This window comes from Homo sapiens, chromosome 5, assembly GCF_000001405.40.
Source record: "Homo sapiens chromosome 5, GRCh38.p14 Primary Assembly".
Lineage (NCBI taxonomy): Eukaryota > Metazoa > Chordata > Mammalia > Primates > Hominidae > Homo > Homo sapiens.
Genome location: NC_000005.10, coordinates 168,984,989 through 169,005,146, shown reverse-complemented (window position 1 = coordinate 169,005,146; position 20,158 = coordinate 168,984,989). Strand labels below are relative to the sequence as shown.

Here is a 20,158-nt window from a genome sequence, read left to right as displayed (position 1 = left end):
GCATTATGTTTTAAAAACAATCTGCATAACTTAATAAAAAATACTTTATTGCTTAAAAATACGGACACAGAAACACGAAGTATTCCTGCTGTTGGAAAACATGACACCAATAGACTTGCTTGATGCAGGTTGCCACAAACCCTCAATTTGTAAAAAAGAAGAAAGCTCAATAAAACAACGTGCGCCTGTACCATAAACTGGGTGGCCTAGACAGCAGACACTTATTTTTCACAGTTCTGGAGACTAGGAGGTTCAAGGTCAGGGTGCCAGCATGATCAGATTCTGGGGAGGGCCTTCTTCCTGGCATGCAGCTGCCTTCTAGCTGTATCGTCACATGGCCTAGAGAAAACAAGCTCTCTGGACCCTTCCTATAAGGGAATTCATCCATCATGAAGATTCCATCTTCATGACCTCATCTATACCTAATTCCTTCCCAAAGGCTCCACCTCCAAATACCATCGTCTTGGTGGTTAGGCTTTCAAACATGAATTTTAGTTGGACACAGACATGCAGTTCATAGCAGAGGGGTTACCTGTAGTCCCAAAGCTACGTAGCTAGGGAGACGCAGAGGCAGAATTTTCACTCAGGTCTGTTGAGCTGAGTCCAAAGCCCCTTCTCTCCTCTCTGCATCACGCTGAGCAGTATCATACTCAGCGCTTGGAGGAAGGCCCAGAGGGCTCAGTAAAAGCAGCTGAAGAAAAACAAATTGGAGGGAGTTTATTATGGTTGATCTTAAAAGCCTTGTAATGACCTTATTTTCTCCAGAGGACATTCTGAAAGCCAGTGATTTACCCTGGCAGCCCAGCTGGGGGAAGATGTCCAGGCAGCCAGTTCCCCCTACCTGTGCCTCTGGGCATGGCAGAACCGAACCCAGCAGGGACTCCCGAAGGAGCCATTCCCATCCACTTTTATTTCTCTGAGATGCACAGAATATCAGCCCTTCGGGTTTCGTGTTGTTCTGTTTTTTGGTGTGTGTGTTTTTTTTTTCCCAAAACAGTCGTGGGCTTCTAGCCAAAAGTCCTTTCAATTAATGGACTAGGAACAGCACCCATGAAGAAAATTAAAAACAGATAAGAAAAGAAGGGCCTTCATGCGCAGAGTAGAGGAAGGGAATAATTCTTGGATTATGCTGATGATTTACCAATGTTTTCCTAACGTGAGAATCAGTCAGCAGGGGCCTGGGTTTTTTATGGAAGAGGAACCTCTTCCAGACAGCTCACTCCACAACAGGCCTGATAAATCCCCACATCCCCACTTCCAGCGAGAACGCTGCCCCCTCCAGAGCCACCATGTCAAAGCCTGTTTAGCTGTTCCTTACTTATCAGCCACAACCCCAACATTAGTTCATGCTTGGAATATGAAGCCATTTCATATTTATTCTTGTTATATCTGGCAAGAAGCCTTAAGGAAAAAAAGAGAGTCCCCTGTTGGTGCTGTTCAGCTCTTATATCTTTATAGTCTCCCAAATTGATTTGACAGGGCAATTGCAGGCCATGGGTGAGACGAAACTCTTCTCTCAGAAAAGTCTGGGAGACTAGGCACAAATACACAGCCCACTCCTTCAGCTTCTGCCCTGAGCCTGTGTTCACGTCTGTGTTCACATCTGTGTTCACGGCCACTCTGGCCCCTGCAGACCAATGCCATAGAGTTTCCTCGTGTCAATTTTCTGGTAGGAGCCTCTGAAAAGAACTAGGGTATCGGAGGAGACGTTAGCAATGGAATTCACCACAGGACATTCTAGAAGCTGAGCAGGGTCAGACTCCCACAGAGGGTACTGCAGACACTCAGTAGGACTTCAAGGCCACATGAGCTTTGGGAAGATGTACTGAGTGCCCTGGTCTGCCCAGAAGCTAGGGCCCATATTCTGCAAGCCTCAGATGGGTCAAAAGAGTTTTAATCCAAGGAATAGTGACAACTTGAAATGATATGCAAAGTTTGTTTGTGCGTGCTCAGACACACTGAGTATTCTAGGAAAAAAGGACTAGATTTTACTGCATACATATGTAGATACATACTGGTAATATCATGAGTGCCATTTGCAAATCCTTTCTAATGGATTTAGTAGGTAAACAAAGGAATCTATGACCCCAGTAAGCTTAAGAACCTGTGAGCGAAGGCAGCCTTCCCCCAAAGAATAAGTGCCCCACTGGTAGTTTGAGATGATTTTAAGTAAGATTCAGACAAACTTCTTCTTTTACTAGGCATATACTTGTTTTCATACAGTTAAAACCTATATGTAACTAATATACCAAGTTTGTAATTTCACAGACATTGCAGATCAAGGTGAGGATAAAACAGATGTTTAAATAAGAGTCATTAATGGATAAGGTAAAACAAGTAAACAGTAGTACAAGTTTTGTGCCTCTATGGCAAAATTAGCTAATAGTGAGAAGAGACTGCTAAAGTTAGGGAAATACTTTGATCAAGGAAGAAAAACACGGAAAAATGTAGTCCTCATCCCCTCTTGTCCCAAATACTGAGATGTTTCTACATTAGAGCCCCTGTTTCTAGTCTCTTCCACTGGTTGCCTGCACACCATTGCCATTCCCATACTCACTCACTCCACGTGACTTTCCTGCTCTAGACTACACAATGGCTCCCTGTGGCCATCACATTCTGTCCACACTCTCTAACTGGGTTTGCAAGTCCATCCTCCCACCTGATGTCATCTCCACTATTTCCTAGTTCTGAAACTCTTCACTTCCCAGACCATTCTTTTCATTGTCTGCTCCAAATCTCCCCATCTGCCCCATCTGTACTCATTGATGCCCCATTGCTTTTTCTTTTTTTCTTTTTTTTTTTTTTTTTTTTTTTTTTTTTTTTTGAGACAGAGTCTCGTTCTGTTGCTCAGGCTGGAGTGCAGTGGAGTGCATCCTGGCTCACTGCAACCTCCACCTCCCAGTTCAAGTGATTCTTCTGCCTTAGCCTCCCTAGTAGCCGGAAGTACAAGCACACACCACCATGCCTGATTAATTTTTAATTTATTTTTATTTTTAGTAGAAATGGGGTTTCACCATGTTCACCAGGCTGTTCCCGAACTCCTGACCTCAGGTGATCTGCCTGCCTCGGCCTCTCAAAGTGCTGTGATTACAGGAGTGAACCACCACACCAGCCACATTGCTTTTTCCTATAATTACCTTCATACCCCCATGCTCCCTATTCCTCTTTTGAGTCCCCTCCTCTCCCTACTCTAAAAACCTACCGTTTGCAGTTCCCACCAATGTCTCCCTTCTCTGGAGTACTGCTGCCCTGCAATTCTGTATGTCAAGGGGAAAAAAAAAGGAGGGAGACTTTGGTTAATTACCACTTCACTTGGCACCAGGAAGGGTAGGCTAAGAGAGGAGCTATAGCCAGGAGTCTAAAACTTTTCTTTTGGCTTGTTTAAATTGTTGACAAAAATGGGATTAGTTTGAGATTAATCACTGAAAAACAAGGGAGATAAACTCCTGGGTTCCAGAGATATTAATTCCTTGGTTCTCATCCCAGCTTAGGTTATCAAAACCAAGAATTGTTCATTTTTCACAGTTTATGAGGTTTATCTTTGGCCTGTCATGAGATGCTGACAGAAAAATGAAATTGGTCTGTTTCTAGTCTATTTCACTTTCTCATTCCCACTCTCATAACAAGTCAAAATGTTCCATTGTAACACTTAAGGAGGGAAAAAAAAGACGTGACCCGCCTATGTGCCTGTACTTCTTGTCATTATTTGGTGTTTTTTTATTCTAAATATTTTTATTGTTCAAGCCGAACTCAAAAGATAGGTGCCTCTCCCTTCATTTCAAGCAGAAAGTGAATTTTAAGTACTTAGTAGGAAAAGTTGATGGCAAATTAATATGTGGGGGTGGTTTGAGAACTTTTCATTTTTCTCAGGATAAGGCAGACAAGACAGGTTCAAAATACGGACAGTGGCGATGAGCTGGAAGTGAGAAGTTTCCTCAGAAAGGGCTGAAAGGGTTGGCTGAGAATTTTTTTTCATTTCATCCTCATCAGATGCTCATTTATAAAAATAGCAAAGCACTTGGATAAATGTGAAAGTGGTTTGAAATGTGAAAAGTACTATGGATTTGCAGAAAGCATCTTTTTCCCATTGAATGGGATTATTTATGTCCCTCTGTCATATCACAACTTTCCTAACAAATAAGATGACAAAGTAATAAACTTCTTCCAGGGGAGCCATTCAGTGCAGAATTCACTAAGAAAGCTTTCCGACGCAACTCAAATAACCGCTTGGCAGGAAAAGTTATTTGAGAGAGATTTTAGAACTGAAAACCCCAAAAAAGAACATCTAGTATAAATTAAATAATGCTTCAAGAATAGGTTGTCGGGTCAGTTGTAATTGAATAGCCAGCCCATCAGTATTTATCAGATGCTTACTGTATGCTCAGAGCTCTAATAACTGTCAGCCGTGTATCTTTCTTTCTGTTGCTGTTTGTGTGAAGGTAATTTCTGACCATTCTTCAGTGAGTTTGATACTGACCAGATCTATCACGTTCAACTCTGTATCATATTATTAACGTCATGCTCTGACTTCTAACACCCTTAAGTTTTTGTTATGAGTTCTTATGTAAAATTTTTGTTTTACATAAGATTATTGTTTTTAGGTTATTGAACACTTTCTGTGAGTTTTTTATTGTTCTTCTCTTTGAGTAATTCTTCATTGTAGGCTTAAGCGTTGATGCAACTGAACTTTCCATTTCAGAAAAGATTACGTTAATATCCTTTACAAATCTTTTTTTTTTTTTTTTTTTTTTTTTGAGATGGAGTTTTGCTTTTGTCACCCAGGCTGGAGTGCAGTGGTGTGATCTCAGCTCACTGCAACCTCTGCCTCCCAGGTTCAAGCGATTCTCCTGCCTCAGCCTTTCGAGTAGCTGGGACTGCAGGCACACACCACCATGCCCAGCTAATTTTTGTATTTTTAGTAGAAACGAGGTTTCACCATGTTGGCCAGAATGGTTTAGATCTCTTGATCTCATGATGCGCCTGCCTCAGCCTCCCAAAGTGCTGGGATTACAGCCACCGCACCCGGCCATAACTTCTTAATAATGATCGCAGCATTTGTTGAGCACTGATTTTTTGTCGTCAATAATGATCGCAGTATTTGTTGAGCACTGATTTTAGCAAGTGATAGGCATTACTTTACTTCTGCTATTTCCTAAGAAGGATGGGGATACCCAGACCCCAAGTGGAAAAAATCATGAAGGGTCTTTGGGTCATCTCCCTACTCCAAGCCATGAGCCACAAGGCCATCGAGCTCAAGAGGAATGACTGAGCAGTCCAGCAGGTCCACTTTTGCATGGGTCTTCCCGTGCAAAAGCTCCCAGGTGGGCGTCCACTCTGTACCTGCAGCCCCAGGGCCGGCCCTCCATGGTGAAGCCAGGGCTGCCTTTGTGAGTCCCGTGGCTGCATATCCTCTGTCCACATTCCTCGGCTTTGACAGTGTGAGGCAGGGACTTGGGCTGTGTGCCTCCTCTGCAGACCTTCACCCTCTCACCCTATAGGGACACTGTCCAAAGTTTGTGGGAGGCAGCACTAGGAAGCCAATGTGAGTGGGGACCAGATCCCTGAGTCCTTCAGAGGAGTTCATCAGCAATGGAGCCCATGTTCTGGTCTCCATCTGCCTGCTTCACATGGGTCTGGAATTGGAAGGGGATGGGGATATGATTAGTTATCACTCAGCACCCCAAAATACCCACACAAGGCTCTATGTAGCTGTGCTGTTTTATTTGATCCAACAACCTTATGGGATGGGGGTAATTATTACTGTTTATCCAATCAGAAAACCAAATTAAGAGAGGTAAAGCCAGCAGCACAAGATGAACTGCTGCAGATCCATGCCTGCAGATCTGGGATTGAAACCTGACTGTATCCCACTCCAGAGCCAGAGGTCTTGAACCCATTACCAGAGGCTCTCATACTTGGAAGTTCATTCATTACCTCCTAAAGGGTGACTCACCTGTAATCCCAGCGCTTTGGGTGGTAGAGGCAGGAAGATACCTTGAGCCCAGGAATTCGACACCAGCCTGGGCAATGTAGTGAGACTCTGTCTCTAAAAAAACAAATTTAAAAATAGCTGGGCATGCTGGTGCACACCTGTAATCCCAGCTACTTGGGAGGCTGAGGTGGGATAATCACTTGAGTCTGGGAGGTTGAGGCTGCAGTGAACCATGATCACTCCACTGCACTCCAGCCTGGGCAAAAGAGCGAGATCCTGTCTCAAAACACACACACACACACACACACACACACACACACAGATTTCTGGGTCCCCTCCCAGAATTTCTGATTCAGTGGGACTGGGGTAGGGCCCAAGAATTCATATTTCTAACACATTCCTAGGTGACAGTGATGCTGCTGGTCTGGGGACCACACTTTGAGGACACATCTTTTCACCCTGTTCAATGGCCTTTTGTTTTGTTTTGTTTTGTTTTGTTTTGTTTTGTTTTGAAATGGAGTCTTGCTCTGTCGCCCAGGCTGGAGTGCAATGGTGCGATCTCGGCTCACTGCAACCTCTGCCTCTCGGGTTCAAGCGATTCTCCTGCCTCGGCCTCCTGAGTAGCTGGGATTACAGGTATGCGCCACCACTCCCAGCTAATTTTTGTATTTTTAGTAGAGACGGGGTTTCACCATATTGGCCAGGCTGGTCTCGAACTCCTGACCTTCTGATCTGCCCGCCTCAGCCTCCCAAAATGCTGGGATTATAGGCCTGAGCCACCGCGCCTGGCCCATTTCTTAGTTCTAACCTTCAAAGTTTACTAGTACATGGGGTGGCATCAAAACATTATAACTAGAAGAGTAACCTTAATTGGATGTTTAACTAAAATACCTACAACCTTGCATACAAGGCAGACCCTTTGGAGGCATTTTGGAGGTGGTGCTGGTTGTCCTTTCTATAGCTGAAAAGAAACAAGGAAGGGATGAAACGGATGTGTTTCATGTGTTTTAAGCCATGACAAAGTATTTCATTCTTCAAATACATTTTCTGGTGGCATTTTATTCTAGAGCCAATCTGGATGACTTTCTTTCTTGTAACTCTGTGAGATCAGCAGCCATCCCTGTGTCCCAAGTGACTCCCACAGTTTATTATTGAGAGCTTCCACCTGGCTTTGAATATGAACAGAGGAGAGAGAGGGAGGGAAGGGGAGAGATGGAGGGAGAGAGAGGGCATGGGGCGGGTAGAGAGAGAGAGCTTGGCCTCAAATTCTGGGAAAGGTTATCACATGAAGAATGGAGCCCTGATCTCTTTATAGACACTACAGATAAAGCCATGCAAGGGTTGCGGTGGATGTGAAGTGCCAAGGACAAACTCAGGTGTGCCAGAAATACCACTCCTTTGAACCTGATGTTGACACTTGAATCCCCATGTCATAGGCTGGTTGGAAATGCCGTGCCAGTTGCTACCTAGGTCTTCTCTCCTGTTTCCCTTCCAGGACCCCTCCCAGCAGAGTTAGGAGTTTGCATGGTGACCGGAAACAAAGGATGGTCATCAGCAGTCCCAGATCACCCAGGCCCACTGAGGTCTCCTGCATGCAGCAGCTCTGCATTTCTGGGCTTGGATGAGAAAGGGAATTTGGGGCAAGGCTTCTAGAAAGCCACGCGGCCATGACTCTGTGGGGTCTTTTGCCTCTCCCAAATCCTTGGGCCCCACGCATACCTCCCTCTACCCCCATCCCTTTCTAGTTTTGGAGAAGACCCTCCCTCTTTCAGTTAATTCTATTCTTTCACAATAGGACTTGATTCCACAAACCCAGAACCCCAAATCCTCTTTCCAGGGGGTACAGAAAAGTAATTGCAGTCTCTCCCTCTAAAGTGGGGGGATGGGGTAGGAAAAACAACAGAGCTCAAATTTGACACAAATTCTCAGTCGAAGTGTTTGCCCCTTCCCAACCCTCCAAATCCCCAGGGAGCCTCTGAGCCCAGCTTTTCCCAGGTCCCAGTGTGACCTCTCAGGAGACCAGCTTCCAGACCCTGTGTCTGGGAAGGTACAGGTGTCGCTCTTAGAGAAGGGGCACGCGATGCGTCACAGTCCCCTAGTGCACCAGGCATAAAACTGAGGGCCACAGGAGACAGGATTATTGATCAATGAGGCGGTTGATCCCTCCCTTTCATCATGATTTCTTGAGAGTGCACTAACCCGGCCTGACAGCTGTGAGGATGACCCACTCACAGAGACCTGCAGCAGTCAAGATGGTCCTGCAGAAGCTGAAAGGATCCTGAATGTAAATAGACCATGAGCCACATTCTCCCACACATCACTCCTCCACTCCACCCGGCTCAGGCCACCCACCTCCTGAGACAGGCCTGAGACTCACTTGCTTTTGCATCCCAGCGGAAGCCGTAAAAATATTGGTAGCTGGGGCCCCTCACCGTCAGGAGCACCACTTCCTATCACCTCACATGGGGATTGGATGGATGACCTGATGCCAAGTCACTGGCCAGCCCAGAGGGACATGACCATGTATGAAGGGCCACTAAAAAATCCGCTGCTGTAACATTCATCAGTGAAATGTCTACAAGCCAAGAGTTGTTGGGGATCGAAATCAATAGCTTCTTACGTGTTTCTGAATTTACTGTGGCATCACGAAGCGCTTGACGTTATATCCAAAGCCCCAGATATATGCAAACAAGCCCAAAGTCACTGGAAGAAGTAGACTATTTCTTTTGCATAGGTTTGGGGCAGGGGGACAGTGTACCTAGGGAAGAATATTTTATTGATGTTCATTAAAAATGAAACTTTAGCTCCATTTTCCCCTCTTCCCTTCCCCCATCCACTGAAAATGGAACCATTTAATGTCACCCTGGTGTGAAATGGGAAAGGATAGTTGGAGCTCAGATGTCCCTCTGTTGACTTCAGCCTAGGTAAATCATGTGTCTCTCGGGAGGAGGCCTGCAGGTCAGGCTTTGCGAGGGCTGTGCTTGCAGACTTAATGCCTCTCTGTTTGTTCTCCCTCTGAAAGGGCAAAGGCCTCCCTTCAAGAAAAGAGCTTCTCCCAGCAACAGAAGTCTCCCCACACCCTTCCCTGTCCCAGCTGCCACCAGCCACACTGAGCTTTGTGGAGCTCCTGCCCTGTGCCTGGCCCCGTGCTAAGTGCTATGGTGGATATCATTGATCTCAGTGTCAGATGTCTCTATAGATGGTCACCAACTGAATGTCCTGGGGTGGGAGGGTGATGGGGTTACTCACGGTTGGTCAAGAGGAACCAGAAAGAATACCAGTGCTTTGGGAATTGGCCACAATTGCCAACCTTCTCAGGGAAATCAAACATGGTGCTGAAGCTTTGTATGAGAACAGAGGCCCAGATGTCCAAGGCTGCTGGCCTTGCCACTGAGGAGTTGGGCTGTGTGCAGGGTTGGGGTCCCAGCTTGGTGCTGGTTTGCCAGGTGAGCAATTACGCCAGAAAGGAGACAGGGAAGCAGAGGGAGCAGGGGAAGCTGCCATCGGAGACCACAAGTTCCCAATCCTTGGAAACTGTTTTCGTCTGACCAATGAAAACCGTTTATTTTGCAAATGTGTCAAGGGGCTCCTTTCAGGAGAAGAACCTTCTTGATACTGATGATTCTCAGTTTTCTGACAGTAGATTACCCAAGGTTTTGGGTTTTTCCCCTCATACCAACGAACACAATTAAAAGCACTTTCTTTCATCACTTAATCATTGAGTACCTGGGGAAGACAAACTAGATTTAGAATTAGCTTGTGCAAGCATGACTAAGGTATTACAATGAGGAATAGATACTAAATGTAATCGTTTATTAAAATCATGTTCTTAATTTGGTGGCAGAATCAAAGTGACTTTTGGCATGTCCATCCTGTTGGATGATCTAAGTGGCTAATTCTTCCCTGTTCTACTCCACACTACCCCCTTTGTAGACCAGCCTTAAACAGCTCCTTTGTGAACATTCTTCTGCTGTGAGTATAGGAAGGCTTTGTTTGCTCTCACACTGGGTCAATTTGCTGGTTGCACAGTGGAGATCTGAAGGTGCAATATGCGTGCTGTGGTTGAGTGACGTACAGAAGATGGGACTCTTAAGTAAGATCACCTGGTATGAGCCCTGCCTATATCCCCTACTGATTGTGTGATCTTAGGCAAGACACCAGATTTCACTGTGCCTCAGTTTCCTTATGGAAAAATAGGCATAATAATAGCTCCTAACTTCATAGGCTTGTTGTAAGCATTATAGGAGACAAGACATGCAAAATAGAATGCCAGGGCTGGGCGCAGTGGCTCATGTCTGTAATCCCAGCACTTTGGGAGGCCAAGGTGGGTGGATCACTTAAAGTCAGGAGTTCAAGACCAGCCTGGCCAACATGCTGAAACCCCGTTTCTAGAAAAATACAAACATTAACTGGGCATGATTGGTGGGTGCATGTAATCCCAGATAGGAGGCTGAGGCGGGAGAATCACTTGAACCTGGGAGGTGGAGGTTGCAGTGAGCTGAGATCACATCATTGCACTCCAGCCTGGGTGACAGAGCAAGACTCAGTCTCAAAAAAAAAAAAAAAAAAAAAAAAAAAAAAAAAAAAAAAAGTAGAATGCCAGACACTGGTACATGTTAGTAGCATTAGATATTATTATTCTGTTTGTAACCACTTTGACCAGCGAATGGCAAAGCTGTTAGCCTTGGAGGTAAGATGGGATTTATGTGGGTGTGAAAACAGATAATTTGGTTGGGAGTAAGAGGGGATTGAGATGGACAGATAACTAAATTCTGGGATGGTACCTTTCGCCTTTATGGGGTATGAGCAAGTTCCAGGTAGGAAAAGTGTGGAAAATAAATGTATAGGACAATGTCAACCTTAGGGCTGGTTTTCTGTAGGATTCCAGAGGATGCCTTTGATTCTCAGTAAACCCCAGAAAGCCCTGAGAGAGGCTCTTCACCAGCTCCAGCAGCAGAGGCTCCTCCCCTATCCCAGCACTGAGGATTCCATTCACCTTGTTTTTCTTTAGGGTCATGACTCTTACCAAGGGGTTGTGGAGTCTTCCGAGGAGCCACCCAGCTGTCCCACTCCAGGGCCTCTAGGACAAGGGTGTCTGCAGACAGCCTGGTAAAGTCTTTTTCTTCTCCACCGTCTCCTCCTACAGCCACACAATGAGCCAATCAGGGGCAAGGTTGCAGCTGGAACCCTGGCTCCCGATGTCTTGTCTGCATCCCTCATACCCATCCTGGGCATCCTGCAATTCCCACTGACTCTAGAAGCCCTCAGTCAGCTGCTGTGAGAAACTGACATTCTGTAAATTCTGTGTTTTGCCTTTGTTTTGTTTGTATTATGTTATAACATCAAGAGAAACCCAAGGGCTTTCCCCAGAATGGGGAAAAAGCGGGATGATTTTGATCACGTGGCTCTACCATTTACTCAGTGGGGAAGAGAAGGTGGCCCCTGACCAGGAACAAGGTGATAGATTTCTGTGCCCGTCTTCACTTTGTGTCTTGTTTCTTTTCTGCCTATCATCATTTAGTCAGGAGTTTTTTTTTTTTTCCTGTGTACTTAGAAAGTATATGAGAAAACAGAAACTCTTTCCATAAATCTTGTTAGGAGAGAGAAGAATCCTGTAGTTACTTAGGATGGAAAATCCTTCTAAGACAAAAGGGCCTTCAGAGCAGGCTGTGGGAGCACATTGAGCCCACAGAGAGAGGTTGACCCCCATGGGGGATTTTGTCTGGCCTTTCACTTCCTAATACCTTGTTGTCCACATCTGTGTAGTGGGTCTCCATCTGTCCTGCCTGCTTCTGAGAGATGACAGAGGGAGTCTCTGAAAAAGCCAGGCGTCAGATCCTGTAGGCGGGGTGCCATGGGCATGGCCTGGACAAGTGAAGCCTGACATGTGGGTGCTCTCCTCCGGACCCGGAGCCCCCCTGAGAGTGCAGAGCCCTGACCCTCACAGCAGCCTGTCAGCAGCGCCTCGAGCACCTGGCTATTCTGCGCTTGGCTGACATCTCGGGATTCCTCAGTCTCTTAGGAGAAGGAGAGGAAATGTGTGTTTTCAGTTTGGGAAGGAAGACACACCTCTAAATGTCAGACCTGAGGCTTCCGATAAGCCCATAGGATATTTTCATTTCGGAACTGAAAAGAGCCGACCCAAACACCTACCTACTGAGGCCCATGAAGCTCACACTCCCAGAGAGGTTCAGGGGTAAATCTTGCGCCGCGTCACCCTTTCCAGTGAAGAGACGGCTTTGAAGCTTGCGCCTCGCTCTGGGCTCATTGTTCTGCGTGTAAAGGGCCTTTGCTAACACCCACTGGCATTTTCTAGTACAAGGGAACACTGTGTCAACCTACATGAAAACGGAAATGCTAATGCACCTGGGATTTGAGACCACAGCGCCCCCTCCATGTTCAGTAATCCTGGAGGCAGCGACTGGAAAATACATTCCATGCAGCACAGATTCATTTAGAGCAATGTCTTTCAGACTCTGTCCCTTGGAACCCTGAGGTTCCACAGAACACATCAGGGACTGGGGCAGGGGGACAGATGGCCGCTGGAAATGGGTGCCCTCCAGGCCTGAGCAGGACCCCAGGCCTTCCTTTCCAACCTGACCAGAGAACTTTTGCTTCCATTTTTATGCTGTGGTTCTGCACACAGCTCCATTCAACAGAAGGTTCCCCTGCTTTAAAAAAGAGTTTGAAGACCCTTGGCCGAGGTAGAGGCTCTATTCAATCTATAATTCTATTTACAAGACAAAAATAAATAACCTATTTATAAATCCAGCTTAATTAGCCCTCGCATAAAGTAAAAGTAAACCTCAGCAGAATTCTACAGGATTCGGTCATCATAATTCTTTCTCCTCCTTCAGATGTAGTTGAGGGTCCTTGCGTCTGTCATTAAGCTCCTCACTCCCCATTCATAAGGCTGCCTTGTACTTTTTGAAGGATTTCCACAGACTCCTTGGCTGGGAGCGTGAGCAACCTCAAAAAACCTTCACCAGCCCGTATGAAGTGTCTGACTAAAACGCAGGAGGTCATTCTCTTTTCTGCCAGGGGCAGCTTCTCAAACACAGAAGGGTGGCTCAGGAGAGGGGGTGGGGCAGGGGCCAAGTCCAATGGCAAAGGCAATGGCTTTGGGCCAAAGGGTAAAAATGCTTGTTTTCAGGAAAATTAGAAAAATTTGCCTGAGGCAGGTCCCACTTACACACTGAGTTCTTATATGGGCCCTTTTATATTGCTGTTTACTTTGCTTTTTAAATTAAAAAATCAGTGCCTGCCAGTCAGGGGGCCTCTCCGGCCCTGAAAGGGTCTGCCGTTGCCCCCACCCCAGCTCCCCACCCCAGGCTCCTGGGTCAGAGACTGATGGGAATTGGGCGTCAAGAGGGAAATGTGTGGGTTAGAGGCGAATGTGGAGTCTGGGCTGTTTTTCTGTATGGTAATGGACAAGCCAGGGTGGCCATTCTGAGACAGGCACTTTCTCCTCTCCAGTCTCTGGGGTAGGCCTTTGAAAACAATTGCCAGCCAGAATGACTGAAAGAATTTTCCTGGGGATCCTGAGCAAAACCTCTGAGAGAAGGGGGAGGCTTTCCCTCGTCCTCCCTGATAGATCCCCAGGGCACTGCATTCCCCAGGCTGGCATTTCCCCACTCCTGCCTACAGGTTTGCTGCTGGGGGTGGTGGGGGCAGTGGGGAGGCCAACATGGGAAGCCACTGTTTGTGATGCCTGTGACTCAGCCCAGCTTCTAGAGGGCTGTGGCCCACACAGCACCTGGGGCTCCCGTGTCCCCTCCCAAGCCTGGGGCTGTAGGCTCTCCACCTGCTTCCCAGCCAGGCAGGTGACTGCCCCATGCTGGTGAGAGCTGAGGCCTTGGAGCAATTCAGACTCTATTCCTACCACTTCCTCCTTTGGAGGCCTCTGAGCCTCAGTGTTCTTAGCTCAAAAATGGGATTACAACTACAATTTGCTTGATAAGGTTTTTGGAAGGACAAAAAAAGAGACAATCTTTATGAAACCCCCCAGTTCAGAGTCCTTGGCACATCATAACCACTCCCCAAAACATTAGCTATTATGAGTTACTATAGTTAGATATTCTTGATGGGAAGCAAGTGCTTCTAGTATAGTATCTAATAAGAGCACCTCCCAGCGGTGCCAGTTGCTAGCTGTGTGATGTCAGATAAATTCCTTTACCTTTCTGACCTTCACTTTCCCCCTTCACAGAATGAAGATGACCATTCCCATCCCACAAGGTGACAGTGGCCCAATGAAAGCAGCAAATGCAAACAAGTACTTAGTGCAGGGTCTGGCACTTGGCAAACAGGCAATAAATGATAGCTGCTGTTACTCGTGGCAGCTGTCGTGTGGCATTCTCCAAGGACAACATAATGTTATTGGGTTTTGTTTTTCTCTAAGACCTCCCTGGAGCGTGTTCTTGCAGACTGACCCAGCAGTCAGCTGAGGGACATTACTAACCCACCCAAGAGGGACAGGACCTGCCTGAGGTCCCTGTACCTGCACACAACTCCATTCGACAGAAGGTTCCCCTGCTTTTAAAAAGAGTTTGAAGACCCCTGGCTGATGTAGAGGCTCTATTCAACCTATAATTCTATTTACAGGACAAAAATAAATAACCTCTCTGGGTCCCCTTCACTCTCCCTTTAGAATGATGCTGTTTTGACACTGGGCTGGGGCAGGGAGATAATTGTTTTAAATTTTTTTATTCTCATCAAGTTTGAGAGAATGCTTTTAAGGCTGTGAGGTGGTCATGAAAGGTAGAGTGAGAGGTGAAGCCCGCCATGTGAAAGTGAAATAGAATTGAGAAGATCTCACGGGATCTGAATCACTTCAAACAAACAAACGTTTAGCATTCAAACAAAGGCTTTCTGTAAAGGTTTTAGAGCTGGGGCTGGAGTTTCTTACCCTGTCCCACCCTCACCCTTCTCTGTGACTCTCTCCTTTGTTGACTGGGGATGCAGGGAAGAGAGGAGAGATTGTGGGAAGAGAAGGTGGCTCGTGGCTATGCTTTGCAAGGCTGCAATTGCCAAGGGTGCAAGATGGACATCCTGATGGACCCTGATGTAGAAATCTTGCCTCAGTTGGACTGTAGTGAGTTCATTAGACAATCCCATCCTCTCTCACATCTTCAGGGGAATGGAACTAGGAATCTGCCAGCTTGGCCTGAGAAGAGGGCCCTGTCCTGAACCCACATGAATAGCAGGATAGGCGGCCGTGGAACTTTGATGGCTGAACCTGGACTTTCTTGTTTACTCAGCTTAACCTCTTGACTATAATGTGCCAACTACATATTTATTCACAGAACTGTTAGAGATAAAAGGGACCTCAGGGGACATTCAACCTGGCCCCTTCACTTTGCAGAAAACGGAAATGAAACTTCAGATGGGTGAATAACTTGTTCAGGTCCCATCCTGGTTTCTGGCATCATTGGGGTGAAAATCCAGATCTCTGAGCTGATTTTCTACGTTTCTTGTTCATTCTCTCTGATCTTCTCGTTTTAGGGTGGCTATGGGAACAGTGACTACCAATTACTTTCCTGGGTCTTTGCCCTGCTTTGCACTAGTTTGTGCCTGCATTTTCCATTCTGGTGGATGTTGGTTACCACTCAGATTTGCCTCACTCTTTTAGGATACAACTAGTTCGCGCTTTAGAACTTTCAGAATTACATTAGATGCAGAGATGTTAGCTGGAACTTGTCACCTCACATTCTCCCTCTGCTCGGGCTCTCCTCCTTACCCCAAAGAGCGAGACAAGTGTGGCAAATCCCACCTGAAAGTTTGCTGCAAGTCTCCTGCTGTGTTTTCAGCAAATTCATTTCAGGTGGCTGTGCCTAAGTTTGCAGCTCATCTTCTATTTTGTAGAAGAATCACTTGGGTGGTTCCTTCCTCTCATAGGTGCTTTCCTTCCCTGTCAAGTTTGTTTTGGAAACCAACTTTTTAAACTTTTTGTTACTAATAAGAATTTTGTTTTGTGGGAATTCCTAACCGAAAACAAAACAAAAGATCATTTCCTAAGGATGTATGCTTACCATATTCCGTCTTGTATGGATTTGCCTGCTTTTCATGTCTTTGCAAAAGAGGCATTCTTTCTGTTCTGTTCTGCAAGGCTCCTGTATTTGGTGTAGCTTTCTAATAAAATACTTGAATTCAGTGGTGTGTCTCTGAGGCAAATTAATTTAGTGCCATGGTTGAGACTGAAGATGTAAATGTCCAATAACATTGAGAGCAGGAGTTTGCTTTAGCAGGATTTGTTAATGAAAGTACATCCAGAAACTTTCACTTTCTGCAGTGAACAGTGAGGACAAATGCTGGCCTGGCTGAGATGGGGAGAGTGGTGTGCCAAGGAGATCCCAGGAGAGAGATGCTGATTCTTTTCTCTGGAGGCAAAACCCAGGAAGGCTTTCGAGGCTCAATTCTAGTGCTGCCTGCCCCTGGGGGGGGGTCTCCTAGTTGATTCTCCTCCAGTGTGCCAAAGTGAGATCCGTGAAGATTTTCCATCCAGGTGAAATTTAAATCCCACCCATTCACCCTTTTATATAACGTATGCATGTTAATTGCATCCCTAAGTATTTGGTTGGAAGTTTGCTTTAAGTTAGATCTCGCAGTCTTCCTGAGTTCTGCCCTGTTTTGCTATTTCCCAGAAGCTCTTTTGAGGGAACGTCCAGGAAGCCACACACCCTCCTTCTATACCCTGCAGCTCCAAGTGGTCGGGAGCCCTTGGAAAGAGCTGAGAGTTAGACTCAAGGATCTGGGTCCTTCCCTGCCAGCCCAGCCATGTGACCTGGGCAAGACCATTCTACTCTCCCCATCATGCAGGATCTGAGTGTTGTCTGTGTTCCCTTCCAAATATAAAATTATGGAATTGTAGGACTTTGGGAAATTGCATGTCCACAATTTCTTTTTCCATGGGAAAAAAAGGGAAACCATATCTATGGAGTTACAGTGGAGATGTAGCAGAGATGCCCTAGAGCGAGCAACCATCTGTGTTTGCCTAGCACGGAAGGATTTTCCAGGACACAGGGCTTCCCGTTTTAAAACCCAGAAAGTCTCAGACAAAATGGTCACCATAGGTGCACATATGGTCCATTCACCAGACTCCCTGACACCTTAATACAGGTGCAGGATGGCGAAGCCCAGCCTAGGGAGGTTTCTAAACCCCGCAGGCTTTCTGATGGAGTGTGGCTGAAAGAAAGGGGGAGACAGGTGCCAGCCACATTCCCTAGAAGAGAACACCTTAATGTGCAGTTGACTTGTTTGATCTGCTTCAGCTGTGACACAGTGGTCCCATGTGTACAGGTAGTGCACTCACAGAAAATGGAACCAGGGGCCTATGAGGATATTCAGTCCCCCCACCTACCTAACACCGAAAAAGAAGTCATCTATATATTCCATAAGAAATCATTTCGTTCTTTCCCGTTCTGGAAATAAAAGCTTCCTCCATAATGGGTGGGCTGCCACCTTGTGGCCATGAGTGGGAATGTGGGAAAGTACAGGTAACCACAGAGGACTAAATGCCTCTGGGTTTAAATCAATTCGGTTCCTATAGGGTACGAGGCAGTGAGCTAGATGCTTGTGTGGCTAAGACTATCATTATGTTACCAAGGGTAGAGCTTTACTGTGTGCATGTGATAAATACGCTTAGCAGTTTGCATGTAGTATCTCCTATAGTGTGCTTAACAACCCTGACAGGCAGGAATCATCACCATTTTACAGATGAGGAAACTGACACTCAGAGGTTAAGTACATTTTTAAGGTGACACAGCAAAGAGCTAGGATTTGAAACCAGGATTGGCTGGCCCTAAAGCTCATGGTCTGGACCACTAGGCTATACTGCTAGAGAGATTAGCGTGAATAGAAAAATAGGACCACATAGATAGTCTGGGTGGGAGAAATAGGTCATTGTGAATATGTGGGAGAGATTAACTTGGTGAACATAAAGGAAGAATGCAAAGCAGGGAGTGACTCTGACATCAAAAGCAGTGGAATCCAGAGTAAAGAGGGAGAGAGAACTAGAGTTGTCAGGATTCCAGGTTAAGGGGAAGGTGGGATTTGAAGTAGCTGTTGAAGGATGGATAGGAATCAGATCAACAGAGAGAGCTACAGCTTAGTGACCATTAATAAGCTGGCCAAGTCCGTGTTTGATAAATATTAGCCTTCTTTTATTTTTTGAGATGGAATCTCGCTCTGTTGCCCAGGCTGGAGTGCAGTGGCATGATCTCAGCTCACTGCAACCTCTGCCTCCCGGGTTCAAGCGATTCTCCTGCCTCAGCCTCCTGAGTACCTGGGATTAAAGGTGCGTGCCACCACGCCCGGCTAAATATTAGCCTTTGTAAACAATGTGTATATCATGAGTTAAACCCACACTAAAGGCTTTTTATATATGTATCTCATTAATGTGCAAAGGCCCTGCAAGGTCTTTGTTGTTATGACCCCCATTTTATAGGTGAGGAATCTAAGCAGTAGAGAGGTGGTCACTCACCCATGGTCACATTCATAATAAAGGAGTCACAATGTGAACCCACGTCCTTCTGACTCCAAGCCTGTGCTAAAACTGCTTGTGGTGGAGAAAACTCCCACTAGCACAGGAAGGGAGGGCCATGCTCACAGCATGCCTGGATGGTCCAGGTCATGCAAGTTATGATAAAGGAGAGAGCGTGCAGGGGTGGGATGGACGAGGACACTGAGAATGGAGATGGGGGCCTGGATGCTGATGTTTTCGCTGATAAATATGTTGAAGCCTCTCCCTGCAGCTACCAATGTACCAATGTGAGCTGAAAAGCATCATGGTACCCAAAGGGAGAGGAGGGCTATGGAGGCCATGTAAGAAGGGCGCCACCGTCCAAATATTTCCTTTCCCTTATCTACACCACTGGGAAGTGCGGTGCATGGCTCCTTCACAAACTGACCGATCTCAAGTGGGTTAATTCTCCCCTTTTGGCCTCCATTTCATCATCTATCATATAGGGATCGTGATTTTTGCCCTACGTCATGAAATTTGCCTACTTAGCATCTAGCACTGTCAGGGAATTGGGAGAACCAGACGTAAGAAAAGACATGAAAGAACTGAAAAGTATGAGGTATATTACATATTCTGATTTTGTAAACTGAATGCATATGCCTTTTGAGAAGACTCAGTGTCAGCCCCTTATAGAAGGCATTTCTTCGTGAGGCTGGACGTTTCATTTGAAAAGCCTTACTACATGATGAAGTGCCTTTCAGTCACAAGGTTTTAGGGAAAGCAAACCCAAGTTTAAAAAGAGATGATTGACTTATGGGTCTGAAAAGCTTGGGAGTGCGGCACTCCCAGGCATGATTTAACCAGGGGTTCAAATACAACCACCATACTCTGTCTCTGTATCTCTCTTCCTACCCCCCGCCATCATCCCTCCTTTCCTTCTCTTGTTTTTTCTGCATTGGCTCCATTTGCAGAGAGGAGCCCTCTCCTCACTGTAGCAAGACGGCCACCACAGCTGCAAACCTCACAGCCTCCCGGTTCAAGGTGAGTCTTTGTCCCTGCATTCCTGTGAGCACATCTGCTCCCATTGGCTACAGCATGGTCACGGGACAGAGAATGAGAAATGCTAATTGCCTTAGCCCAGACCACATGCTGCGCCCACCATGCATAGGAACTGAAATTAGGGAGGAGTGGACCTGCAAATAAAAATGAGGGCTGTTGCAGTAAAACACAGGGAAAGAAGTGCTGGGAAGGCAAGCAGTCAACCACTCAGTTGTTCCCATGCACCATGATTGCTTTTCTCCTTGGTTTGTCATCACCAGGACACAGACTCCCCTTGCCGGAAGCAAAGCCTTTGCATCTGGTTTGCTCCACGGCAGTTCAGAGATTGCTGAAGCCCAATCTCATATGACGATCCAAGATCTTAGGAAGTCCAGAAAAATGGGCAGGATAACCTTGGAAGCCAAGATGGCATATTCGTGGCTCAGTTCAGATGGTACAAGGAACTAGGTCCTGACTCCTGGGCTAGTTGTGGAAAAAGTTCAAGCGATCTTTAGGTTCAGTTTAATTCCCCACCCAGGAATTGAACTCTTCCTGCAAGGTGCAAAGCCCAGGGTGGCCACGGAAGGAACTCTGAACATCCCTGATCTTAGAGAATTCATGTCTAGTAGAGAACACAGTTGGGGGTCAAGTAATTGTCATTCTAAGAAATGGCCTGAAAATTTTAGATGACTCCCTTACCGGTTTCTTGTTGCTTTCCTCTTAGCATTTCT

The 20,158-nt window shown here is 46.2% G+C and overlaps 1 protein-coding gene and 1 long non-coding RNA gene across 4 annotated transcripts in view; one reads left to right on the top strand and one right to left on the bottom strand.

The window, feature by feature from the left end:
* The window catches only part of SLIT3 (slit guidance ligand 3), a 639,400-nt gene that overhangs the window by 295,993 nt on the left and 323,249 nt on the right, over window positions 1-20,158 (top strand). The window lies entirely within an intron of this gene.
* Window positions 10,959-12,171, bottom strand: LOC124901130 (uncharacterized). The gene is made up of 2 exons (XR_007059042.1): window positions 12,086-12,171; window positions 10,959-11,072 (listed from the first exon to the last, which is right to left on the bottom strand). It is a non-coding gene; the product is annotated as an uncharacterized LOC124901130 (long non-coding RNA).